General features: G+C 66.5%; 1 protein-coding gene and 1 non-coding gene across 3 annotated transcripts, besides 8 other annotated features; both read right to left on the reverse strand.

Annotated features, from left to right (window-relative positions):
• Positions 1–1,804: 1,804 nt before the first annotated feature.
• FASN (fatty acid synthase) lies at positions 1,805–21,703 on the reverse strand. Of its 2 annotated transcripts, none has more exons than XM_011523538.3 (43): positions 21,588–21,703; positions 19,786–19,914; positions 18,787–18,939; positions 17,065–17,238; positions 16,686–16,886; positions 16,364–16,486; positions 16,164–16,279; positions 15,922–16,056; positions 14,689–15,151; positions 14,349–14,536; positions 13,842–14,031; positions 13,099–13,193; positions 12,717–12,851; positions 12,436–12,639; positions 12,228–12,343; positions 11,857–12,029; positions 11,583–11,774; positions 11,421–11,501; positions 11,152–11,328; positions 10,792–10,971; positions 10,517–10,720; positions 9,721–10,025; positions 8,949–9,338; positions 8,705–8,869; positions 8,502–8,623; positions 8,266–8,420; positions 7,980–8,183; positions 7,701–7,851; positions 7,442–7,620; positions 7,239–7,358; positions 6,984–7,106; positions 6,669–6,892; positions 6,381–6,582; positions 5,994–6,145; positions 5,790–5,881; positions 5,476–5,627; positions 5,068–5,310; positions 4,631–4,819; positions 4,159–4,389; positions 3,837–4,057; positions 3,607–3,705; positions 2,824–3,075; positions 1,805–2,747 (listed from the first exon to the last, which is right to left on the reverse strand). In XM_011523538.3, exons 2-43 carry the CDS (start codon positions 19,910–19,912, stop codon positions 2,610–2,612), a joined length of 7,536 nt encoding a protein of 2,511 aa, XP_011521840.1. In that variant the 5' UTR covers positions 19,913–19,914; positions 21,588–21,703; the 3' UTR covers positions 1,805–2,609. The 2 variants fall into 2 exon arrangements, with proteins under 2 accessions (XP_011521840.1, NP_004095.4); NM_004104.5 differs by having other exon boundaries at positions 19,786–19,919.
• Positions 2,866–3,066: a silencer, noted in NCBI's record as "peak3028 fragment used in MPRA reporter construct". NCBI's record gives its function as "represses an SCP1 promoter by STARR-seq MPRAs in K562 erythroleukemia cells {active_cell/tissue: K562}" and the evidence as "EXISTENCE:reporter gene assay evidence [ECO:0000049][PMID:32103011]".
• Positions 4,484–5,369: an enhancer, noted in NCBI's record as "H3K27ac-H3K4me1 hESC enhancer chr17:80038893-80039778 (GRCh37/hg19 assembly coordinates)". NCBI's record gives its function as "activates a minimal SCP1, AML or CMV promoter by ChIP-STARR-seq in naive H9 embryonic stem cells {active_cell/tissue: H9 hESC(naive)}" and the evidence as "EXISTENCE:reporter gene assay evidence [ECO:0000049][PMID:30033119]".
• Positions 4,626–4,826: a silencer, noted in NCBI's record as "peak3029 fragment used in MPRA reporter construct". NCBI's record gives its function as "represses an SCP1 promoter by STARR-seq MPRAs in K562 erythroleukemia cells {active_cell/tissue: K562}" and the evidence as "EXISTENCE:reporter gene assay evidence [ECO:0000049][PMID:32103011]".
• On the reverse strand, positions 13,427–13,607 carry SNORD134 (small nucleolar RNA, C/D box 134). The gene has a single exon (NR_132755.1). It is a non-coding gene; the product is annotated as a small nucleolar RNA, C/D box 134 (small nucleolar RNA).
• Positions 20,012–20,927: an enhancer, noted in NCBI's record as "H3K27ac-H3K4me1 hESC enhancer chr17:80054421-80055336 (GRCh37/hg19 assembly coordinates)". NCBI's record gives its function as "activates a minimal SCP1, AML or CMV promoter by ChIP-STARR-seq in primed H9 embryonic stem cells {active_cell/tissue: H9 hESC(primed)}" and the evidence as "EXISTENCE:reporter gene assay evidence [ECO:0000049][PMID:30033119]".
• Positions 20,796–20,845: a silencer, noted in NCBI's record as "silent region_9191". NCBI's record gives its function as "represses an Ori minimal core promoter by ATAC-STARR-seq in GM12878 lymphoblastoid cells {active_cell/tissue: GM12878}" and the evidence as "EXISTENCE:reporter gene assay evidence [ECO:0000049][PMID:35858748]".
• Positions 20,906–21,115: a silencer, noted in NCBI's record as "silent region_9192". NCBI's record gives its function as "represses an Ori minimal core promoter by ATAC-STARR-seq in GM12878 lymphoblastoid cells {active_cell/tissue: GM12878}" and the evidence as "EXISTENCE:reporter gene assay evidence [ECO:0000049][PMID:35858748]".
• Positions 21,136–21,325: a silencer, noted in NCBI's record as "silent region_9193". NCBI's record gives its function as "represses an Ori minimal core promoter by ATAC-STARR-seq in GM12878 lymphoblastoid cells {active_cell/tissue: GM12878}" and the evidence as "EXISTENCE:reporter gene assay evidence [ECO:0000049][PMID:35858748]".
• Positions 21,396–22,875: a silencer, noted in NCBI's record as "silent region_9194". NCBI's record gives its function as "represses an Ori minimal core promoter by ATAC-STARR-seq in GM12878 lymphoblastoid cells {active_cell/tissue: GM12878}" and the evidence as "EXISTENCE:reporter gene assay evidence [ECO:0000049][PMID:35858748]".

Below are 24,851 nucleotides of genomic sequence, written 5' to 3' on the forward strand. Positions count from 1 at the left end.
TCCTGCCTGGCGGTCCCGGGACAGCCCCTGCACCCCGCCACTGTCTGCCAGCTCCCCCCGGGTGCTCTGTCCTGCAATCCTCAGCCTCATTTTCCCCCCGGACTCTCAGCTCCACTTCCTCAACTCGGGGGGTCTGCTGGACTCCACCTCTCACTGTGCCCGGCCTGGAAGCTGCCAGGCAGAAGGCTGAGGTTACCCTAGGGCTCCTGGCACCTTGTTCCCACCCAGGGGTCACCGTCCTTCTTTGGCGGAGGCCTGGTATCCCCACAGCCAGCACCTCCTGTCCTTTGCCTGGATTTTCAGCTGTTTCCGGTGGGAGGGTGAATCCAGGCCTCGCTACTCTCTGGATCAGAACTCCAATTCGTTACATTAATTTTCATTTTAATTCGAAAGAAAAAATAACTGAAGTGAAGATAATTGTGTGACTTAAGGTAACTGTATCTTCATAACAAAGATACGTGGTTTCTCTTAGGTCTCCCTGAAGCTCATTTGCAACTTGGATGCACCTCAGGCCCATCAGAGCGCCTCCTCCCCTGGCAGCAGCTGAGCCAGGAACTTCAGAGACCCCTGGACACCACATTCCGGTACCGGAGAGCCGGGAGAAGCAGGAGGGGTGACAAGAGCCCATGTGCTGGGCACTACCCGCCTTGCCCTGCAGGGCCTGAGGCTGTGGAGCTAAAGCAGTTTAGTTCTGAGGCCACCCCCAGATAGGCCTGTGAGCCTCTGTCCTCCCTGGTGGCCCTGAGCCTGTGTGCACGGCTGGGGTGGGAGTGGCCGGAGGAGGGGTGGAGAGAGGCCAGAGGGGACCACGGCTGAAGGGAGCAGCTGCCTAGTGTTGGGGGACCGCAGGAGGGGTGTGGCTGAGCCTCGCTCCGATGCCCGCCTGCTGTCCACACTCACGCCTGGACACTGCCCACCTGCAGCCGCTGCACCAGGCCCACCCCCCCAGCAGGGCCCGTGGTGTTCACTGTAGTCCTGGCCCACTACCCTGCCCTGGGAGATGGCCCCTGCGCCCACCCCTCCCCTGCCTCTCCAGCAGGGGCTCTCCCAGCCCCCCACCCACCTCTGTGCCTTGGCACTCACACTGAAAGGGCCTCTTCTGTGGGCATGCTGTGCCTTCCGGAACCCCGGGCTGGCCTGCTTTGCCCATTCCCGAAATCCAATCCTGGCTCTCGCTCCTGCCCATGCCTCTACCCCAAGCTCATGTCCACCCAGCGGCCCCCCGCACAGCCACCCGTGGGGTGCTGCCCTTATGGGTCCTGGAGGCTGTGTCCACCCCACCCCTCGATGCCGGGGGTCCAGGTGCCCAGGGCTCCCTGTCCCTTGCTCCCTCCCAGCCTCCACTCCTTTGCCTAAACCCAAGTCTTCTGGGTCAACCTGGCCAGCCAGTGGCGCTATTGACACCGTCTTGGTGAGGCTGTGACGGCATCTTTGGCAGGGCGAATGCCTGCAATCCACTGACTTCAAGCAAATACTATTCTCCACGAGGGGCCTCTCCTCAGCTGAAGCCAACTTCCCAGTGTCTGTACCTCCTACACGTTTCTCACTGGTGGTGTTTCTTGGCCAGAGCCTCGGTACCCCCCCCCCCGCCAGTCCCAGCGCTTTCCCGGGAAGCCCGGGGCTGCCACGCGGGCTCCTTCCTCACTCCCCGGCCCAGCCCCGGCTCTGGGACATGGCCTAGGGGTGTGTGGGAACTGGGGACCAGAGGACAGAGGGCATCCCCTTCACGGCCCCGTGACTGGGTGGGGTGGAGCTGGAGAGCTTGCAGCTGCCAGGTCAGGGAGGAGGGAAGAAAGGACGGTGGTGGAGATCACATGCGGTTTAATTGTGGGAGGCTGAGAGCAGCATTTTTACCAAATTGGTGTAAAAATGAAACGGGGTCCAGACGTGTACACTGACAGTTACAGTAAATTTCAAAATCCAAGCAGCAATTTGAATCATTTCTTGAAAAACAAACACAGACAAACACCAAACATGGAGTTGGTGCCCGGCGCCGGGCATAAGGGCAGCACCCCACGGGTGGCTGTGCGGGGGGCCGCTGGGTGTGGCCGGGCCCTGTGTGCCTGTGCAGGGGCCCAGCTCCTCGGGGACTGGCCCACGACCCCCCACTCAGCGGGCTGAGCCAATGCCTGGCCGAGAGGGGGCCGCAGCCAGCAGGCTTGGGTGGCTGCCCGCGCCCGCAGGGGACATCGGGGAAATGGGGGCAGAGTGCGGGACCCACACGCTGCCTGAGGAGTCTTGGCAGGGTGGACAGGCCTGGGGGTCTCTACCAGCAATGCAATAAATATGCAAATCCAAGCACAGAAAGACCAAGCGCAGACCCCACGGGCGCACGAGGCCCAGCCCAGTTCCTGCGGGCACGGGCACCACCGGCTCTTCACAGACCAGGAGTCTCCAAGTCGGCAGCTCTGGTGTCCCCGAGGTGCCGTGGGAGGCGGCGGGTGGGTGGGACATGCCTAACACCTACATCTAGCAGCCTCGGGGGGCAGTGGCACTGGGCCGGACAGGGTCCCACCGGCAGGACCCTTCAATCCCGTTGCATGGCGGGGGTGGGGTGGGGTGGGGTGGGGATGGTGGAGTGACCTCCGGTGGCAGGCGGGGGCACGGGCCTAGCCCTCCCGCACGCTCACGCGTGGCTCAGCCAGGGAGCTGTGGATGATGCTGATGATGGACTCCAGGCCGCTGCCCTCCAGCAGCGTGCGGTGGTCACCCTCGATGACGTGGACGGATACTTTCCCGTCGCATACCTGCAGGGGATGCGATCAGCTGCCGTCCCACCCCACTCCTGTCCCTGTCCCCGTTCCCGTCAGGCCCCTTGCGCACCTGGGAGAGGTTGTAGTCCGCGCCCAGGTCCTCGCCGTAGGCGCCACCCGTCTTGGCGCGCAGTAGCATCACGTTGCCATGGTACTTGGCCTTGGGTGTGTACTGCTCAGCGGCACGCAGCTTGTAGTAGAAGGACCGGGCCGCAAAGCTCAGCTCCTGGCGGTCCAGGCCCTGGTGGCTCTTGATGATCAGGTCCACGGCGGCTGCCACACGCTCCTCTAGGCCCTTCAGCGGCAGCAGCGCCTCCAGCACCTGTGGGGTCGGGCTCTGAGCAGGTGCTGGCAGCACCCACAGCACCGGCCTGCCCTGTGCTACACTGCGGGTGGGCTTTTTTTTTTTGAGACGAGTTTCATTTTTGTTACCCAGGCTAGATGGAGTGGGGCGATCTCAGCTCACCGCAACCTCCACCTACCCGGTTCAAGCGATTCTCCTCCCTCCGCAACCTCCACCTACCCGGTTCAAGCGATTCTCCTCCCGAGTAGGTGGGACTATAGGTGAGTGCCACCATGCCTGGCTAATTTTTGTATTTTTAGTAGAGAAGGGGTTTCTCCACGTTGGTCAGGCTGGTCTCGAACTCCCGACCTCAGGTAATCTGCCCGCCTTAGCCTCCCAAAGTGCCGGGATTACAGGCATGAGCAACCGCATCCGGCCGGGATCGGCTATTAAAGGGGTGAAGTTGGGGGGCCTTTAACGCTCTTCGCGTCCCATCCCATCCTTCCCTTCCCCCTTCCGTTCCTGCCCAGTACTCTGGGTCCTGCGGCCTCAGGGGTGTCCAGGACCCACCCTGTTGTGCTCCATGTCCGTGAACTGCTGCACGAAGAAGCATATGGCCTCCGTCTCAGCCTCAGCCTCACAGCCTGGGGTCAGCTTTGCCCGGTAGCTCTGAGAGGAAGGAGGGACTGCTGAGCAGATGGAAGGGGCGGGGCCTCCTAAGCGACGGTCCCCCAAAGCCAGGGCACAGGTGGGGAGCCCAGACGTTTGCCGTAGGCCTCTAGGACCAGCCTGGCTCTCACCTGGGTGTAGGCCAGTACGTAGGTGGGCGAGCCGTCGAACAGGAAGAGGCTGTTGTGGGTGGGGGCTGGGCTCTGCTGGGCCTGCAGCTGGGAGCACATTTCAAAGGCCACGCAGGCCCCGTAGGAGTAGCCGGCCACGCGGTAGGGGCCCTCGGGCTGCACCTGCCTGATGCAGTCGATGTAGTAGGCAGCCAGGCTGTGGATGCTGTCAAGGGGCGCAGCTGCAATGGCAGTGCCGGGCACTCAGCATGTGCAGGCGGCAGCCACGGGCCCCGTGATGGCCAGCACTGACCACCGCTTCCAGAGGAGGGCCCGGGAGTACCTCGGGTGCACTGCAGGCCATAGGTGGGGATGCTGAGCCGGGAGGCCAGGCTGTGGAACACGGTGGTGGAGCCCTCGATTGGGTGCACCAGGAACAGGGGCCGCTCCGAGCTCTGCACGGAGTTGAGCCGCATCAGGGTGGGGCCCTCCGGGTTCACCAGCAGGGAGCGCAGGTTCAGCTGAGTCTGCTGCTGGGCCAGACCATCCTCCTTGGGCGTGGGGCATGCCAGCTCTGTGAAGACAGGGGCAGATGCCAGGCTGGTCTGGGTGCAGAGCCCTGGCACCCACGCAAGGACACACAGACACGCACGCAGGTCCCCACGGTGCTACGTCAGGTGGGAGTCGGGGTGGGAACGCTCAGAATGGCACCCGTGACGAAGGGCGGTATGCCTGCCGGGACACGGTCCAGACAACAAGGAGGAAGGGCTGGGGAGGCCCGGGGACCCCACTCCCGCCTGGCCACCCACACGCACCGCTGGCCTCATCCGCCTTTGAGGACAGCTCCTGCAGTTTCCGGAGCGTGAGTTGCCGCACCTCGCGCACGGACAGCACCAGGTTGAGCTCACGCTCCAGCGTCTGGCGCACCTCCACGCTCATGAGCGAGTCCAGGCCCAGGTCCGCCAGTGAGCTGTCCAGGTTGACAGCAGCCAAGTCGCGGATGCCTGGAAGGGATGCGCCGGGTCGGCAACTCCAGAGGGGGCATGGGGACGGCCTGTATGCGGCAGGGCTGACACCCAGGGGTGCGTGGGCTGTGCATCTCCCAAAGCACCACCACCACAGTGACACCTGCGCCCGCACCCTGGCTCTGCAGATGGGGAAACTGAGGCGCACAGGGGCACGACTGCTATGTCCCAAGACCCTGATGCCAGCAGGGGAAACACCTGGCGCGGCTCCTACTGGGAGTGCTCACCCAGGATGTGTGCCACGGCCTCCACCAGGTCCCGCTGGCTGTCCCTGTCCCTATAGGCCGCAGCCTTCTCAGCCAGCACAAAGCTGCTCAGGACCATGTGGGGCTGGTTCAGGAAGAGGTCCAGCACCTCCAGGCAGGACGCCATGCGCTGGGGCAGCGTGCCACTGACGATCGTGTCGTTGGTGCTCATCGTCTCCACCAAAATGCCCACGTCGCCGATGGCGCCCCACTGCACGGCCAGGCCTGTGGGGGAGGGGGCAGGTGGGCAGAGCTGCGGGGAGGTCGGGGTGGGGAGTGGCCACTGGGAGAGGGTGGGGTGGGCAGGGCTGCGGGGAGAAGGTGGGGGTGGGGAGTGGCCACTGGGAGAGGGCAGGGTGGGCAGGGTCGAGGGGAGAGGGTGGGGCCCACCTGGGAGGCCTTCGTGCCGGCGTTTCTCACAGATACGCTCCATGGCGGAATTGGCAAAGCCGTAGTTGCTCTGTCCCGCATTGCCACGCCCGCAGCTCACAGAGGAGAAGACCACAAAGTAGTCCAGCTCAGGGCACGCCTCTCGGGTCACCCTGTGGGCACGCGTGTCACTCCCCATTGGCCAGCATCCCCAGGAGCCCCCAACGTCCCATCCCCAGGAAACGCCAGAGAGGGCTGTCAACAAACCACCTTGGCTCCCACGGCCCTGAGCCCAGAGCCCGGCAGAGGCGGGAGCAGGGCTGTGCGGTACCCACCTGTCCAGGTTCAGGGTGCCGCTGTACTTGGGCTTGCAGACGTCCTGGAAGAACTCTGGGGTCTGGTTCTCCAGCAAGCCATCTCTCAAGACCTGGGGGAGGCATCCTCAGCACTCCCTGCAGCTCCAGGGCCTCACCCGTCCACCCAGGGTCCCCCCCTTGGTCTTGGGGCTTTTGAGGGCCCCATTTGGGGCCTTCCCTCACCACGGCCAGGTTGAAGACGCCGCCCACGGGCCCAAGCTGCGCCGCCTCGGCAATGAGGCCCCGGGCCCCCTCCAGTGAGCTGATGTTGCTGGTGGACACCTGCACCTGTACGCCCTGGCGCCTCCACCGGCGGACCTGCTTGGCCTGGTAGCCTGCGGGACACAGGACTGTGGGCTGGACTGGGCCAGGGTACGGTCTCTTCCCTACACGCCGGGCTGGGGAAGTGGGGAGCAGCCGCAGAGCCCCATCCAGCAAGCCCCCCACAAGATGGAGGGGGACAGACCCCAGGCACCGTGACAGCCCACAATGGTGGGCTGCAGAGAAGGGCTCAGGGGCCCGGGGCTGTGCCTGGCCCAGGCTGGTCCACAAGCACCCCTGCCGACTCACCTGTCCGGATCCCGGAGCGAGAAGTCAACACGAGCTTCTGCACCCCACGCTGTATCAGCCACTGCGCCAACTCCAGGCCGAAGCCACCCAGACCACCAGCGATGATGTAGCTCTTGTGGGCCGGGCAGAAGGTCTTGGAGATGGCCGACATCAGCTTGGGTTTGGCCCCCTTCAGCACTGCCTCCGGCTCCTCCGCAAGCACCTGCGTCCAAGCAGCACCCACCGGCTCAGGCACTGCCTGGGGACCAGAGCCTGGGGTGCCCGAGGCGCCGGGACTCCTCCCCTCACCTGCACGACGACTTTGCCAATGTGCTTCCCTTGGGCCATGTAGCGGAAGGCGTCCTCCACCTGGGCCCCATGGAACACCGTGCACTTGAGGGGCCGTACCACCCCATCCCGGATGCCGGCCTGCACAAGCGCCCACACCTCCCGCCAGTCAGCACTGCTCTCGTTGAAGAACGCATCCAGTAGGACCCCGTGGAATGTCACGTTCTTCAGGAAGATAGCCATGCCTGCGGGCAGGGGCCGTGCTCACCCAGGGCCTTCCACAGGTCCACCCACACCCATCCATGCCCACCCCCGCCCAGGCGCTGCCGGCCTCACCGAGCGGGTGGTTCTGAGAAAGGTCGAATTTGCCAATTTCCAGGAAGCGACCGTGCGTAGCCAAGCACCTCACGCTGGCCTGCAGCTTCTCTTCCGCCAAGGAGTTCAAGACCAGGTCAACGCCTAGGGGGCCAGAGGGGCCAGACAATCACACCCACTGCAAGCCCAGCCACCACAGTCCAGAGGGCCAGACCCTGCTTCTCCCTGGGCCGGAGGCTAGGCAGGAGGCAGGTGGGGGCTGTGGGGGCCACTCACCCTTCCCGCCCGTGTGCCACAGCACATGCTGCTCGAAGGATGTGTCCCGGGAGTTGGCGAAGCTGGTGCTGTCGAGCTGGGGGAACCTGGCCTGGAGGTACGCCCGCTTCTCAGCCGACCCTGGTGAAGAGAGGAAGCGCGGCTGGTGAGCCAGGGCGGCGGGGCCAGGAGGGCAGCGGGAGGCACCGGGGGCGGGGCCTTACCCACGGTGGTGAAGACGCGGCAGCCCAGACTGAGGGCGATGGCGATGGCGGCCTGGCCCACGCCGCCCGAGCCCGAGTGGATGAGCAGCGTCTCCCCGGGGCGCACCCGCCCACGCACCACCAGCGCGTAGTAGGCCGTGCTGTAGACGACAGGCACCGAGGCCGCCTCCTCCAGCGTCCTGGGGATGCAGCAGGTGGGTCAGCACAGGCCTGGCCGCCATCCACGTGGGGCCCAGGCTCACACCCTCGACACACTCACCAGTTGGAAGGCACATCCCAGAGGAAGTCCGGTGACAGCAGGACAGAGGTGGCCAGGCCCTTGGCAGGCACCAGTCCCATCACACGCTTGCCGCTGGCGTCTCGGCCCGAGAACTCCATACCTAGCAGGCTGTCCTGGGAGGTCCACTTCCCTGGGGGAGACGGCACTGAGCCCCTCACCGCCTGCCCTTCCCTCCCGAGGGGCTCCCAGGCAGGTCCTAGCTGCTGGGGTCTCTGCTCCCCGGCCCAGTCCACTCCCACGGCCCCATGCCACCCATACCTGGGATGGCATCAGGGGACAGCTTGCCAGTGGCCAGCATGATGTCGCGGAAGTTGAGGGAGGCGTAGTAGACCGTGCAGAGCTGGGCGCCAGGGCAGGTGGGCTGGGCATGGCGCAGCGAGGAGCAGACCCAGCGGATGGAGGACAGGTCCCCCCGGGTGAGGGTGCTCACAAAGGCATGTGCCGTCGGCTCCTCAGGCTTGTCTAGGGAAACAGGGAGGTGGGGCTGCTGCGGGGCCTTCGGGTGCAGTCTCCCGGGAGGGGCAGGGCAGTGTCGGGGGCTCACCCTCCTCCAGCAGGAAGTGGCGGAAAGCCCCCCAGGCCCCGTCGCGGTAGACGTTCATCACCAGGTCTCCCTGCAACACCTTCTGCAGTTCTGCGGAGCCCGGGTCCACCTCCGGGACGTGGGAGGTGCTGCTGAGGTTGGAGAGCAGCACACACCTGGGGGCAGAGGCGGGGAGCTCAGGCTGGGGATGGGGAGGCTGGTGGGGAAGGGGAAGTGGTGAGGGGCCGTGCTCCTACCGGAGGCGGTTCCCGCCGGGCTCTCGGCGGAGACAGTTCACCAAGCCCACCACGCCCGAGGTGGCACAGTTGATGGCCTTCAGCCACACAGGCCGGGAAGAGTCTTCGTCAGCCAGGATGCCCTACAGCGGGTCGGGGAGGGTCAGGCCACACTCGGCAAGTTGGGAGGTGGGGTGGGGCCTGGAGGTGGGGCAGGGCCTGACCTTCAGAGACTCCACCCAGCGGAAGCTGGTATCGTCCACCGGCAGGAAGATGGGGCTGTCCTGCGGGGTGGGCCGGCGGCACAGGAAGAGCGTGGAGCCGTAGAAGGACTTCTTCAGGCCCACCAGGCGCAGCGACACCCTGGAGAAGAGGCTCTCCCACGCGTCCTGTGGGGGCGGTGGTCAGCACCCTGCCCGCCTGGCCCTCACCCGGCCCCCACCCTGTCCCCCTGCCCGGCGGCCGCACCTGGCTCAGGATGCCCTGGCCATACTGCGGCTCAGTGGAGGTGAGGAAGGCCACGATGTCCCCGAGGGGGTGCCCCCGGAGCAGTGTGTGCAGGAGCAGAAAGCCCCCTTCTCTCAGGGCAGCCACCATGTTGCTGAGAGCTGAGGCCGGGTCCCCGAGGGCAGCCACAGCACAGTTGCACACCAGGAGGTCGGCGCTGCCCAGGGCGCTGGGGGCAGGGTCTGCGGGATCCCACTGGCCCTGGGCAACGTCGTGCTGCTGCAGCTCGGCCTGGGCAGCCTCCAGGGCCTGGGGGTGGCGGTCGGTGGCCGTGTAGCTCAGCTGCAGCAGGGGATGGGGGCTGAGCAGGCCTGGGATGCGGGAATACAGGTGACCGTGGCCAGCCAGCACCTGTAGGGGGTGAATTCTGGAATCAGCCCCACACCAGGCAGGTGCCCCTGACCTGGGGCTGGGCAAAATGTCCATGAGGCCTCAGTCTGGCAGAAAGGCTTCCCCGTCAACCTGATGACGGTGCCAGCCATGGGCACGCATGGATGCCACTGGTCTTGTCCCTGGGGTCCTGCCTAGGCTGCACCTCTTGGAGCCCACGGGCGGACCCTCCACGGTGGCTGTGTGGACCGCACAGGACACGTGCACAGAACCACACAGGGAACTGGCCGGCCCCACCCACCGCCCAGGGCCCGCCCCGTGTCTGTGCTGTCTCCTGCAACTGATGTCAGGGTGGGTCCTACCATGTCCGGGGCAGAGGCCTGGCTGCCCAGGAGGCACCCACCTCCACCACCTTCATCTTCAGGCTGGGCATGTTCTCCACGGCAGTGTCCAGGCAGGCCTTGAGTGCCGGGGAGTCCAGGAGGCCGCTGAGCAGAGGGTCCTCTGGCAGCTTGGGCCTCTCCTGGGCCAGCACCTGCGCCAGCTCCAGCTGCAGGTTCCCGTTGAGCTGAAGCCTGCAGGCAGCCGACAACAGCCGGGGCAGTTCCTGCTGTGAGGGGTCCCGGGGGATCTGGGCCCCATCCAGTCCGGGCACCACCATCTTCAGCCCCTGCTGGGTCACCTTGGTCTGCAGTGCCTGCACCAGCCCTGGGGAGGGAGGGAGGCAGGCCTGGTGTTCCCAAAGCCCCAGGGCATCTGCCTGGCATGGGCTCTCAGACCCACTCTGTCCTTCTGGGGCCACCACCCCGCTCTGCCCACAGGATGAGAAATAGCTGAGGGTTGAGGAAGGGGCTGCCCACCACTGGGAGGCTGACTCCTGCCCACTGTGGACGCAGTGAGGGGCCGCATTCAGCTGCAGGGGCTACTCTGTGCCTAGCCAAGGTGTGACCTTAGGCTGAATCTGTCATCTTTGCCCCCAAGTACCCTTTCAAGACTGAGGAACAGTGACCAGGGACGAGGAAGGCTGGGGGCTGGGGGAGGGAGGGAGGCCGCCATCGTGAGCTCCGGCCGGAGGGTTGGGCTAGGGTTGCTGACCCCAAAGGGGGCCCCGTGGAGAAGCAAGTCTGGGGTCAACGTGAGGGGAGGCGATCGCTCCTCATCGCCAGAGGTGTCCGAAGCCAGCAGGGCTGGGACCTCACCCTTGCACAGTTGCAGCTCCTCCTGCAGGGCAGCGCGCTCAGACAGGCACCCCTCCTCCGTGTGGGGAGTGAAGCAAAACTTCTCCAGGATGGGCACCTGCTGCTCCTGCTGCCGCCGCGGGGCCGACTCAGTGTGGAGCCCGGAGATGTGGACGCCTCCGGCCACTGTGACCCTCAGCCACCTGCTCACCACCACGTCAGCCACTGTGGGGACAGGCTGGGTGAGTGCGGCATACTTGGGTGGGGGCACTGGGCTGGGGCTGGGGCGGGGCTACCTTGGGCCTTGTCCTGCAGTGTGTACAGCTTCTGCCTGTGGGTGGCAGGGTCGATGTGGATGGCGGTGACACGGGTGGGCAGGTACAGGCCGTGCTTGGCCGAGCCCAGGATGGACATCTGCAGCATGGTGTCCATGAAGCTCACCCAGTTATCCTTCCACAGCAGCCTCCCCGAGTCACCTGCACACAGGGCCTGGTTGGTGCTGTGGAACTCCCAGGTCCCTGGGGCCACCTCCCAGAGCCCACCGGGCCCCTCTGCTCCCTCCCAAGCTGCATGCCTAGCTGTGGGTGCCCTCTGTGGTCCCCACAATGACGACCGCCCTCCCCGGTGGCTTGGGCAGCAGTGTAGTCAGTACCCACCTTCCAGGCTGGCCTCCAGGATGCCCTGGAAATGAGGGCCGTAGTCGTAGCCACGCAGACGCAGCTCCTTGTAAACTTCAGCCTGGGCCAGGAAGAGGGGCTCCGTGGGGTTGGGGGTGGGGCTTTCCGGGTGGTCGAAGAGCCTGGGGTCAGGGTCATCCCACTGGTACACCTTCCCTGTGGAAAGGGAGGTGCGGAAGGGCCTGAGGACGGGCGGCATGGCCAGCGGGCACAGCCTCCGCAGCTCCCGTGCCACCGGCCCTGCTTACCACTCACTACCAGGTTGCCGTTCTCTGACACCTCGAAGGCACGGGAGGCCTCCAGGAGCCGTACCTCCAGGGACACTGTCCCTGCAGAGCGGGAGAGTTGGAGATCAGAGGGCAGCACCCGCCCCCCAGCTACCCCCGCCTTGGTCCTGGGGTACCCCTCACCAGTCTTGGGCAGGATGGTGGCCTGGTGCAGCACCACATCCTCAAACACCACAGGCAGCTGCTCGACGCCCAGGCCCAGGGCGCGGGCCAGCGTCTTCCACACTATGCTCAGGTAGCCAGTGGCGGGGAAGAGGACGCGACCGTCGAGGGTGTGGTCCACCAGGTAGTGGTCAGGAGACTCGGAGCTGGTGTCTGCGGGAGGGCACAGGCCTCAGCACAGAGCGGGCGTCTGTGGGGAGGGAAGAGTCTGCCCACCCGCCGGGCCCCTGCTCACCGATGTTGTAGATGGCGGCTGAGGGGGAACCTGAACCGTTGGGGAAGTCCTCGGCGGCCGGCACGTCCCAGGCCAGGCTGTGGTCCCACTTGATGAGTGGGGAGATGAGGGGAGTTCCTCGGGGAGCTGGGAACTCCACAGGTGGGAACAAGGCATTGGGGTTGGCGTCGATGCTACGGAGAAGGGAGGCATGGGTAGCACACCCGTCACCGGGGTCCAGGGGCTCTGGGTTCAGCCCACCCACTGCCTGCGGTGGACCATCCAGGGCTGCTGCCACCGGCCTGGGTCAGTGAGGGGCCCGCAGCCCCGCTCACCCACCCCACGCCGTCCCCGACTCCGGGAGACGAGACCCGGGCTGGGAAGGGACCCACCCTGAGAGGTGCAGCCTGCCGATGCCGGCCAGGAAGAACTCCAGGTTGTCCCTGTGATCCTTCTTCATCAGGGGGATGATGGTGCAGCTCGGCTTCAGGCCACGCTTCAGGACAGCCTGGGGGCGGCAGGGCAGGTGGGCTCTCTTGGTGCTCAGCTGAGGCGCCCATCCCAGGCTCCCGGCGCCTGCTGCCCCCAGGCTGGGCCTACCTGCAGCAGGGCGTGGGGCGCGATCTCCAGCACCACCGCGTGCTCAGGCACGTGCCACAGGGCCTCCTGGAACAGCACAGGGCTCACCAGGTTGTTGACATTGTACTCGGCGGAGGACGTGCGTGCCAGGCTGCTGTGCCACTGGGCCTCGGGGATAGAGGTGCTGAGCCAGCGGGCTGAACGTGGCTTCGGCTCCCGGATCACCTGCATGAGGGGCCAGGTCAGTGCTGGGTTGTGGGTCCCCTGGCCCGCCCCGCACCCCCCAGGCCGTATTAGTCCACCTTCTTGAGCTCCTGCAGCAGTGGGGGTGCGATGGCCTCCATGAAGTAGGAGTGGAAGGCCATACCGCCGGTCCGCACCTCCTTGGCAAACACACCCTCCTTCCTCAGCTGCTCCACGAACTCAAACACCGGGGCCTGGACATCGTGGGAGCCTGGATAAGCATCCTGGCTGGGCACCCACCTCAGGCTCGGAGAGGTAGGGCGCACCCACCTCACCCCAAGGGAACCGAGAGGGAATGGGCAAGGGACCTGAGGACAAACCTGCCCCATGCCCCAGGCCCGTCAGAGCTTGGTGGGGCGTAGACCGTGGCCGCGTGTCCCTGCCAGACTTGCAATGGCAGGCGCAGGGGACAGAGGAGCCCGCCCAGGCCGCAGCACCCACCTGAGGTCCCGAGATGGTGACTGTGTCCTTGGAGTTGTGGCAGGCGGGCACCACGCCCGGGGGGCAGCGCTGTTTACACTCCTCCCAGGACAAGCCTATGGCAGAGCCAGCCTCAGAGGCTTAGCGTGGACACCGAGCCGCTCCCAGCCACCCACCCACCCAGACACTGCCTGCAGCTGGGGGCAGTAATGACAAGTGTGGTAATGGCAGCCTTGGAGCCTTCATGAGAAAGGTTCGCCCCCTGCTGTGTTTGACCCGTGGGTGGAGGTGTCATTACAGAGCTGCCACTCCAGGGGCAGCTCCTGGGAGCCCAGTCCCCAGATGGTGGCCCCCTCAGTCCTCTGCAGCCAAGGTTCTTTCCAGGTCCTGCCCACATGTGGCCCATGGGGCTCAGAGATGGGTGCCAACAGAGGGCACCAGTCTGAGGGAACCCTGATGACCCGTGTGTTGGCTTCACCAGAGCCCCTGGGTTCTTGCTATGCTGCAGCTGTGTGCTCATCACACGGGGGCTCCACGCAGGCCTGATGCCCATGGACACGTGCCTAGGCCCAAGGCTGCCAGGTGTGGGGCCAGTGGGGCAGCTGCAGGGGACTCGCGCACGGCTGTGTCCGAGCTGGGTGTCCCCGGGCCAGCGGGGGCCACTCTATCCTACGGGGGCCAGGCCAGGGCTGCAGGTGAGGACCCCACAGCGAGAAGGCAGCCTCCTTTCTTGGAGGTGCTGGGGGCCCCTCCGGGAGACCTACCCACGGCTGCCATGGCGCCCGGCGGGAGATGGGCTTCTTTGATGCACTGTCCCCTCCAGTAGGCAGCGAGGACGGCCTCCTCCTGGGACAGGCAGCCGTCGGCGTAGCCACAGGCCACCTCCCCCAGGGAGTGGCCGACGATGCCATCTGGCCTCAGCCCCATGCAGCTCAGCAGGTCTATGAGGCCTATCTGGGGTGGGAACAGGACACTCAGGTTGCAACCTCCAGCAGGTGCAGCTGTTGGGGGCGGCCCCCGGCCCCACTAGGCCATCTCCACCCCCGCGCCCCATCGACCCTCCCAGGTCTCCTGATAGGAAAGAAGCCCCTATGGCCCCCACACAGCCCCACTGAGACCCCTCCTCCCCTCCCGTCCTGCCCCCAGCACAAGGCTCTGCCTAGCAAAGGGGCTGTCAGGGGCCCCGGACTCAACACTGCAGCTCCTGGGCTCCAGGGAAAGCCAGAGCCCTGGGGCTGGCGTTGCTCACACGCTGGCAGGCTGGGCCCTACCTGGATGGCAGTCAGGCTCACAAACGAATGGACGATGTCATCAAAGGTGCTCTCGTCTGTGCTCAGCAGCAGCTGTGACACCTTCAGGCCGAATGGCTTCACAGCCTCATCGGAGCGTAGGATGGAATCTCGGAAGCGGTCCAGGCGCATGAGGCTCAGCCCCATCCCGCGCCACTGTGTGCCCATCCCTGTCCCAGAGAGCACGTCACGAGGCTCAGCCCCATCCCGTGCCACTGTGTGCCCATCCCCGTCCCAGAGAGCACCTCAGGGGACCACCAGCTCCAGTTCGCCTGCCTTTCCCCAGGGAAGGGACCACCTTGGGGGCAGAGTGTGGGCTCACCAGAGCAGATGAACCAGAGCGGGCGCTCGCCAGCGGGCACCTGCTGCACCTCTGGGCCACCGCGCTCACCACCCAGCACAGCGTAGCCACGGAAGGGCATGGCGGTGGCGGGGACAGCCGCGATGTCGTTCAGCATGCTCAGGAAAGCCAGGTCCTGGCTGTGCCGGAGGCCCTGCTCCAGCAGCTTCTGCACGGCCTCAGGGGTGCGTCCGCTGGCCCGCAGCAGACGGGGCAGGGTGGCATGTGGGGCGGGTGCGGGGGGCGGCTGCGTGTTGGGCCTCAGGATGATGTGCACGTTGGAGCCCCCGAAGCCAAAGGAGTTGATGCCCACGTTGCCGCCACGGACGGGCAGGGGCTGGTCCACCACCTGCAGCCGCCCATCCAACAGCGCTGGGATCTCAGGGTTGGGGCTATGGAAGTGCAGGTTGGGGGCCCAGAGCCCGTGCTCCAGGGACAGCAGCACCTGCGGGGGTACGTGGTGGATGGGCAGCCGCCCCACTCCCTCTACCACTGCCTGAGCTGGGGGCAGGCACCTCCCCGAGACTCTCATGTGGGGCCAGGGTTCCAGGGCCCTCTCCGATGCACTTCCTGTCCCCAACCTAATTCTGCCATGGCACAGGGGTCCGAGGACTGAGCCGCCATGGCCCTGCCCTCAGCTTGGTCCAAGACCTCCCCTTCCGGCCTTGCTGCCTCCCAGCCTGATGTGGACCCACCAAAGCCTGGCTGTGGCCTGAACACTAAGGCCCCCTTGGCCCAGATGTTGCATCTCAGAGGCTGCAGAAGTTGGGGGGCAGAGGGCGTGAGTGATCATGGGTGTTGGGGCTCCTGTGCCTGGTCTCTCTAAAGGTCCCCAGGCCTCTGCTAGTGGGTCAGGAAGCTGTAGGGACGGGTGGGCGACACGGGAGACCCTGATGGTGCCGTGGACCCCCCCAGGCCTGCTCCTGCCTCGCTCTTCCCACCCAAGCGGCTCCTCCAGCTCGGCTCCGTGTCCGGCAGACGCTCTGCAGGGCATCAGGCCTCCAGGGAAGGCCCAGCGAGCCTGGCTACGAGCTCTCCCTGCTGTCAGCCTCAGTGCCTCTGCTCAGACCTGCAGCATAGCCCGGGGGACAGAGGCTCCTGGTGGGGAAGCCCCCGCCTCCACTTGGCAAAGAGAAAGCAGCAGTGCCCAGCCATGGCGCAACCCAGTCCCAGGGAGCAGGAGCCTGAGGGACCCCCAAGCCCAGCCCCACCTACCTTGGCCAGGGCTGCCAGCCCCGAGGCTGGCTCCGGGTGCCCCATGTTGGACTTGGTGGAGCCGATGAGCAGCGGCTCCTGGCGGGTGGCGCACAGGGCTCGGGTGATGCCATTCAGCTCCTGGGGGTCGCCCACCTGTGGGAAACATGGGGGGTGAGGGGCTCTGGCCAGGTCACCTCTCCAGGCATGGGCGTAGGTTAGGCTCATGGGGTGGTGAGTGGGGCGGGGGGGGGGGGCATCACCTTGGTGCCTGTGCCGTGGGCTTCGATGTATTCAAATGACTCAGGGGCCACTCCGGCCGACTGGTACAACGAGCGGATGAGCTGCTCCTGGATATCCCCTGAGGGGAAGGTCACGCCTGCGGAGGGCTCGGCTCAGTGCTGCAGCCCCAGCCCCGGCTCCCACCTGCCCCCCAGCACCCCGGAACCCCGGCAGAGCCCACCTTGCTCCTTGAAGCCATCTGTATTGGTGCCGGCGTTCAGGATGGTGGCGTACACCCGCCGGGCCAGGGACTTCTTGGTCAGCAGGACGGCCACCACACCCTCCGAGCGGCAGTACCCATTCCCTGGGTAGAGCAGCACCTCAGGCCCGGGGCTCAGCCCCACGCCGGCCCCCACCCCACCAGGAGGAGCTCTGGGGTGTGGGGTGGGTGCTTGGGTGGGGGATCCCCGGAGCTGGCAGGATCCTGCTCAGCGTGGGGACTGTGCGGGGGGCCGTCCTGTGCCACTGTCCCGCCTGCCCTGGCCGCGCAGCCGCACACTCACCCGCTGTGTCGAAGGCCTTGCAGGTGCCCTCGGGGCTGAGCATCCCCAGCCTCAAGAACTGCACGGAGGTGTTGGGCTTCAGCAGGACATTGATGCCCCCCACGATGGCGGCAGGGCACTGCCCGCTGTGGATGGCCTGGTAGGCGTTCTGCAGGGCCATCAGGCTGGAGGAGCAGGCTGTGTCCAGTGCGATGCTGGGCCCTGCAAGGAAGGGTGCTGCGGCTCAGGTGGGGCTGTGAGCACACGAGACCCCTGAGCACACCTCCTGCCACCAGGCTGGACACACACTGCACGGAGTGAGCCCACGCCACGTGGTTTCTGCTCAGCATGTGGGGACCTGAAGGCCACCCACCTCCGCAGGAGGCTGGGCAGGACCCACCTCTGAAGTCGAAGAAGAAGGAGAGCCGGTTGGCCATCATCGCTCGCTGGCAGCCCACCATGCTGTAGCCCACGAGTGTCTCGGGGTCTCGGCTCAGGGCCTCCGAGGTCTCAGAGCCGCTCACGCCCACCCAGACGCCAGTGTGTGTTCCTCGGAGTGAATCTGGGTTGATGCCTGCCACAAACAGTGGTCAAGGTGCCACGGCCGGGCCCCACAGCGCAGCCAGCCCACCCACCCACCCGGCTCTGGGGCGAAGGTCCCATCTTGGCCTCACTGGCTTGGGGTGAGGGGGGGTCCATCCCAGTGGGACCCTGGAAGGGGCCTAAGGAGGGTGAGGTGTCCTGCAGAGGGGCCAGAACAGAGCCTGTGGCCAGCAGCCAGCCCAGGTGAGGCCTGGAACAGGAACCAGGTCACAGAGGGAACGAGGCGGAGGGGGCAGGCGGGCCCAGGGGAGGGCACCAGGCACGGCCAGAGTGGCTCCAGGAAGGACAGAGGGCAGCATTGTCCCCAGGCGACGCCTTTGGCCCCTGGTGTCACCGGCAGCTCTGATGAGCCCGTCGGCCAGTGGCCTCTCCAGCGCCAAGGGCAGCCTGCACCAGAACAGGCCGTGATAAGGAACCGAGGAGACAAAGGCCAAGTGTCCAGGCTCGGGAAGGAGAGAGGGACACCGGTCACCCCCGGGGAGCATAACCTTAGTCTTGGGGTGGGGTCTGGCAGCAGGAAGGGCGCAGGAGAAGGGCTTCCACCTCTCGGCCAGCAGGGCCCCTCCTCGCCCCTGGTGGGCTGGCTCTGCCCTAGGGTGGGTGGGTGTGTGAACCGCTCACACCCAAGGGCAGCCCAGGGCTCAGCCTCCCCCTCAGGAGGTCCTTCTCCGCCCGGGGAGGGAGCACCTGGATCTTAAGAAATGGCATGGCTGGGCGTGGTGGCTCATGCCTGTAATCCCAGCACTTTGGGAAGCTGAGATGGATGGATCACGAGGTCAAGAGATCGAGACCATCCTGGCAAACATGGTGAAACCCCATCTCTACTAAAAATACAAAAATTAGCCGGGCGTGGTGGTGGGCGCCTGTAGTCCCGGCCACTCAGGAGACTGAGGCAGGAGAATGGTGTGAACCCAGGAGGCAGAGCTTGCAGTGAGCTGAGATCGCGCCACTGCACTCCAACCTGGTGACAGAGTGAGACTCCGTCTTAAAAATAAATAAATAAATAAAAATAAAAATAAAAAAACGGCGTGGCGCTTGTCCGAGGTCAAATGCCAGTCAGAGCGAGGGCCAGGCTGGCGGGAGAGGGTTGAAATGCCTGGGGTGGGGGGACGTGGGCAAGGGTAGTGGGGAGGGTGGGAGGGGAGAGACAGCAGGGCCGGTGCTGTCCGCTGCTTGGCTGGTGGGGGTGGGGGCCTGGAGGGCCCCTCAAGAACCTCCTGCTTTGCCTCTCGTCACTCCAGCCCCGGCCCCGGCCCCAGCACCAGCCAGACATCAGAAGCGAGGAGACTGGTACGCTCAGGTCAGGGCACACCCGCGACACCTCTGGGGTGCAGTTGGGAAACTGCGGCCTACCCCGTGGCCCACACCTCCCTGAGCCCGTTGGCCAGGCCAGGGGCACAGCCGGGGAGGGTAGGTGGTGCCAGCACCTGGTTCTACCAGAACCAAGAAGAGAAAACACTGCCTATTCCACGTGAGCAGCAGGAGCCCTCGGCGCAGCAGTCGCGAATGCCCGACCCACCTCCGTCCACGATGGCTTCATAGGTGACTTCCAGCAGCAGCCGCAGCTGAGGGTCCATCGTGTGTGCCTGCTTGGGGTGGACTCCGAAGAAGGAGGCATCAAACCTAGACAGGTCCTTCAGCTTGCCGGACCGCCGGGGCAGGCCGTAGAGCCCTGTGGGACAGGCGGGTGTTTAAATCTCTGACGGAAGCTGCCCAGAGGTGGGGGCCCTGTGGGGTGCTGCAGGCCCCTGGAGGGGCCATGGTGGAACTGAGGACTCTCTGCTATGCCTGGGAGGCCCAAACAATGGAGCAGGCTCCCCAGGAGGGGAAGACCATGGCCCCAAAGCGGGGACTGGTACGACCAGATCTGCTGCACAAGCCCCAAGCCCCAAGCCCCAATCCTGAGATGGGCCGCAGAGCAGAGAGCTCGGCGGGAGTGAGGCTGGGGGACCATCTGCCGGGCTGGTGCCTCGGCTCTACCATGCTGACTCACAGCTTGCCTGTCAGGTAGAGCTGCTCTGTGGAAGAGCCTACTGGGTGTGGGGCAGTTGCTCCAGCCTCCCGGAGCACATCTGGTATGCAACCTCCCAGCTCAGGACAGACACAGGCAGGGGCAGCCTGGCCGGAAGGGCTCTGGCCCCCCGCACCCCCTGCATGGGTGAGAGACCCCAGCCCGTCACCCATCCTCTGAGCTTGGCTCCTCCGTAACAAGCAGATGGGCCCTGCCTGGGCCAGCCCTCGGCCTTGCAGCCATTGGGGGAGCCTCCTGTTGGCCTTGCAGCCGTTGAGGGAACCTCCTGGCAGGCTGGGCGCATTTTCTAGGCCACTCTGGTGCAATGTCCAGGAAGGAGGCTGCAGCTAGGCCTCGCCCATGGGTGACCAGTGGCTCTGCAGCTGGGACCGGCCTCAGGCCAGTGCCTGGGTGGTGAGGACACAGCACAGCAGGGAGGCTGCTGTGAGGACAAAGGTGGAGATGGAGCTTCACACCCCAGGCACGGGGAGCCCCGCAGCCACATACCCGCCTTCCAGCGACGGTCATCGTCCGTGACCATGTCCACACCGCCGATGAGGTTGTCCCAGAACTCCTGCAAGTTCTCCGACTCTGGCAGCTTCCCGGACATGCCGGCAATCACCACCTCCTCCATGGCTGCTCTGCAGGGCGGGCGGTGTGAGTGCCCCACACATCCCGGCCACGACACCCCCGTCAACAGCCTCGGCACCCAGAACAGGTGGACACCCATGGGGCCAAGCACCACCCTGAGGGTCCGTGCGGGCCCTGGCTCCTGCGGCTCCCTTCCTCATGTGGCCAGTTCCTGGGCCCTGACCCCGCTCTCGCTGGGAGGGGCTGCGTGCTCTGGGAACAGGCCCGCCTCTGGGCCCTGACCCATTCAGTTCAGGGTATTGGCTGGGGTACCCCACTGGAGCCCTGCAGCCCTGGCCTCCCCAGCAGTTACTGGTTTCTGCGCCTGTGTCGGCTTCCACTCGCCTGAGTCTCAGCCTTCCAAGGCTCCTGGAGCTTGTCCCAGGCCATCCCTAGGGCACCAGGGGGCTCACAGTGAGGAGCAGGCAGGGTCACCTGAGATGGGGACAAGGCCTCAGGTGGCCAGCCTGCTAAGGGCCATCAAAGAAATGGAGAGGCAGGGTCCCAAAGCCGGGGCATGGAGGTGGCTGGGAGCCCTAGAGGGGGGTACTCAGCACCCATGCTCACCCGTGTTGGGGTGGGGGCCCGCTGTCCAGGCCAGCCCAAGAGCCACCAGGGCTGGGGAGGGACGAAATGGGGATAGCCTATGCTCTGGGGGAAAGGTGGCCCCTGCCCCACTGTGGACCGACCCAGCCAGTCCAACCCCTCCAGCAGGGTCCAACCTGGAGAACCACTCCTGGCCAGGACACGCAGGTGTTGCCTGGCACCCTTCACCTGCGCGGGTGAACCCACAGACGCTTGCCTCCCCATACCAACCCACACACCACAGGAGGCCCTCCCTGGAGCCCAGGTCCCTAAGACCCGGAACGGGTGCCCAGGCCGCCGGCTCCTCCTCCAGCATGAGGGCTGGTGCGGCCCTGGGGGGAGGGGGCGGAGGCCAGCGCTGGTCTGGCCACTTGCACGAGGCCCCAGGGCCTGATACGCGCGCCGCCCCTCGGCAGTGCGGCCTCCCTTGGGCCGTCCCGGCAGGGAGGCGGCCGCCTTCCCACCCGCTGCGATTCACAGAGGCTTGGCTGCCCCGGGCCAGCTCCAGGCCCGCACGCTGGGTCCTCGCCGCTTGCTATTCACGCGGGGTCGACGGCCAGGCAGGGGGTGGGAACACCGCGGCGCGCCCGGCCTCCCTTCGCCCCGGGCGGGGGCTGCTCGGGACCCCTGCGCTTCGGCCGGGCTGCGCCACGTGATGGGGAGGCCGGTCCCGGCGCGGCCCCTGCGCCCCCCCGTTCCTCCCTCGCGGCGTCCCCTTCGGGCTGGGCCTCGGCTCCGGGGCGGCTCCGGGAGGAGGATGCGGCGGCGCCTTTGTGGGCGCGGGGAGGCCGAGCCGGGGGCTCCTCCAGGCCCTTCAGGGTCCGCGGCCTCCCCCACGGGAAGCGAAGGCGGCTGTTGGTGGCTTTCCCCGGCGTCCTTCCCCCGCCATCCGCCCACCTACTCCGCGGGGCCCCGGGCGCCTCCGAAGGGGCACGAACACCGAGACCCGGACAGGCCGCCCAGGCGACCCCTGGATACGGGGCCGGGCCACGCGCGCCCCGAGAGCGGAGGATGAGGAGCCGGGCCACCCCGGGAACCCCGGGCCCAGCCCCGACCACGACCCGCGCCCCGGCCCCAGCGCCGGCTGCTCGTACCTGGTGAGGGCGCGGGCGGCGGTGCGGGCGGCGGAGAGCGAGGCTGGAGCGCGGCGGAGCGGGAGGCTGAAGCGCGGCGGAGAGGGAGGCCGGGGCCGCTGCCGTCTCTCTGGCTCCCTCTAGGCCGGCGCCGACGCTATTTAAACCGCGGCCATCCCCGGGCGGCCACGCCACATGGGCTGACAGCTTGGCTGCGCCGCCCAGGCCAATGAGCGTCGGGGCTGCGCCCCGGGACCCGGCGCGCCGCCGCCGGTGGGGTGATGCTCGTGCGCGCCGCCGCCCGAGCCGGGACCCTGCGCGGGAACGCGCCTGGGGGGGTGGGGCTGGGACTGAGGAGCGCCGGGGGCGGGGCGGGCGGGAAACCACCGCCCCCCGACTTCCGCCTCCCGCCCCGCGGGCCCCGACGCGCACGCGGCTGCGACCGAGCCCGCGGCGCGCCTCCCGAGCCATCCCCGACCCCCGTGTCCGCCGGGGCCACGTGTGCGGGATGGGAATGCTTGGGCCACACTGGGGACTACCCCGTGGCCACACCGGGGGTCCAGCCGGCTGCGGCGGGGCGCTCGGACCCACAGGCGCGCGGAAGGACGGACGGACCCGCGTGCCCGCACTTCGGCCGCCGACTCCACGCCGCCGTCGCTGCCCGCGCGGAGCTGGCTGAGGGCGCGGCGTTGCGCGGCGCGGCGGCAGCAGCAACCAATCGGGCGCCAGGGGTGTTCGCACCGGCCCAATGGCGGCGCGCGGGTGGGCGTTGCTAGGCGATAGGGTGATGGGCGGGCGGCGGGGCGGTCCCGGATGCCTCGCGGGCCGCGGCGCAAGTGCGGGCGTTGACCCCGGCCGCGGGCGCCCCGGCCGGGGTTACTGCCGGTCATCGCAGCGCATCCCCGGTTTTCCTCGCGGGTGCGGCGGGGAACCCAGACCCGAGACGGACGTCCACCCACCCGACGGCCCCTCCTTAGCAGCTTCCCGGGGACCCGGACGAGGCGCAGGGCCGAACGGGCGAGCGCACTCCAGGCCGCTGGAGCTCGGCGGAGGGGAGGGGCGCGGCCACGTGGCGAGCGGAGTCGGCCGGGACACCCACCTGGTGTGGTGCGGACAAAGGGAGCCGCTGCCCCACTTCCCAGGGCGGAGGCTGCGAGTTTTCCAGGCGCGCACCCACGGGCGGGGGCTCAGCCCGGCCCTCGCGCGCTCCCTCCCTCCCGAGTGATTCCTCGAATCGTGGCCCCTTGGGCGGCCTGAGCCCTGAAGCGCGGCCTCCCTTTTCTGACCGCTTCGCGCTTGCGGGGCCAGGCACCCCATGGGGGGCAAGCGGGCCTTGTGAGGCCACAGGTGTCTCTGGCTGCGTGTCCTACTTTGAGGGCTCAGCAAGCCCGGGCCGCTGAAGGGGAACCGGAGACTGGGGCCCCCGGCCCCTCTGCAGGTGTCCCGCTTCCTTCCTCTCCTGAGAGCAGGCCTGAGGGTCAGGCGGCCACTCCGCGTCTTTTCCCTTCTGGGGCTGTGGTTGACGCACGGTGGGACCGAGGGTCAAGGAAGGACAAGGGAAGACAGGGCCGGGGCTGGCCCCGCACTGCTGTCCCCACTGCGGGGGTTCTTCTGATTCAGGGTGAGGCCCTGTGTCAGCCTCAGGCGTGCGGGCACGCAGCTCCGGCTCTCCATGCTCCAAACCTCCCAGGTGGCCCTGGCTGCCAGTGCTGGTGATCAGCGGCCAGCGGGGCCCTGCTCTCTGCAGCCTGTCGAGGGCTGGGCCAGCTACAGGGGAGCCCTGGCTGGCTCCCAAGGAGGTTGGAGACTCGTCCAGCACCCTGAGGGCTTCCACAGAAAGTGAGCGGCAGCGGCCGGGCTTGGTGGCTCACGCCTGTAATCCCAGCACTTTGGGAGGCCAAGGCGGGCAAATCACGAGGTCAAGAGTTGTAGACAAGCCTGGGAAACAGGGAAACTCCGTCTCTACTAAAAATACAAACATTAGCCGGGTGTGGTGGCGCGTGCCTCTAGTCCCAGCTACTCGGGAGGCTGAGGCTGGAGAATAGCTTGAACCCAGGAGGCAGAGGTTGCAGTGAGCCGAGATTGCACCACTGCATTCCAGCCTGGGCGACAGAGCAAGACTCTGTCTCAAAAAAAGAAACAAACAAAAAAACCTCACAGGGCCGTGACTCGATTCCAGGGGACATGTGTGGGAGACCACAGAGCACTGAGAGCCTCCAGCCCATCCCCAACTCCGTCTGGATTCCCATGGAGCAAGTGACGGAGGCTAACCTCAAACGCCCCTGCCCTGGGGCCACAGCCTTTGTCTGTGTGGTGTGGTCTCTGCTTGTCACGGTTATCCGGCCCGCACACCTGTGAGCTAGGCCAGCCGATGGCACTGTCTATATTTTACACTGGGGGTGCAAACCAAAGCTGCAAAGGTCCCACGATTTGCCAAGGTGGCACGGCAGGTTAGGGCTGGGAGCAGCGTTCTCCCATCGTGTTCCCAGAGAAGCTGTCTGCCCAGTTCAGAAAGGTGGCCCGAGGGTATATGGCAAGGCCCGTCAATTCACCCAGCTGGGTACCGGCTGCCTCCACCCCTGCACTCTGCTGTGGGCAGAGTGTGACCAGGCCTGGGGGGTGCGGGGGACAGAGACTGGGCTCCTGAGGAGTGGGGGTGGGATATGAACCCCCCCCAGTCACCATCCTGCCGGTCGCAGAGCACTGCGTCCGTGTGATGAACCCCCACCCCAGTCACCGTCCTGTCGGTTGCAGAGCACTGCGTCCGTGTGATGAACCACCCCCAGTCACCCTCCTGCCGGTCGCAGAGCATTGTGTTCGTGTGGAGGACACGCGAGGACTCTTGGAAGTGCTTTTTGGCGGGGTAGTGCAGTGTGTTCCGGGCGGACGGGCGTCAGTTTACGTGTGCGTTTCTCATCCTTGCAGGTACCTGGCCCCGGGCACTCAGGTGGCAGGGACATTTTGCTGTTATCCTTCGTGGGGGTGGACGTGGAAGGCCCAGCAGTGACCGCTGTCCCCGGTTGGCCCCCACCCTGCCAGCACCTGACATGCACACCCCAACCTGCATGAGGCCCAGGTGCCCACCTGGCTTCCAGGGGTCACCTTGGCCCGGTTCACTGGGATCCAAGGCTCTCACTCCTTCTGGGAGGGCCCCTCCCATGGTACTCTCAGGAGACGCCTGCTTTGTGGGTGGGCTTTCTGATCTGCCCCCTACCTGCTACCAGGCTCTGAGGAAGGCCACACTGTCCCCAACACCACTGGTGTGCAGATGGCTGTGGGTGGTGA

Source organism: Homo sapiens, chromosome 17, assembly GCF_000001405.40.
Source record: "Homo sapiens chromosome 17, GRCh38.p14 Primary Assembly".
Lineage (NCBI taxonomy): Eukaryota > Metazoa > Chordata > Mammalia > Primates > Hominidae > Homo > Homo sapiens.

What these genes read in the sequence shown, in the direction of transcription:
- FASN (XM_011523538.3), bottom strand. Translation starts at nt 19,912, where the DNA reads ATGGAGGAGGTGGTGATTGCCGGCATGTCCGGGAAGCTGCCAGAGTCG. An exon ending in TGACCGTCGCTGGAAGGCGG is followed by an intron (nt 18,940 to 19,785) that starts GTATGTGGCTGC and finishes CCTGTCCCACAG; the next exon opens with GGCTCTACGGCCTGCCCCGG. An exon ending in TCACCATCTCGGGACCTCAG is followed by an intron (nt 12,852 to 13,098) that starts GTGGGTGCTGCG and finishes CACGATGTCCAG; the next exon opens with GCCCCGGTGTTTGAGTTCGT.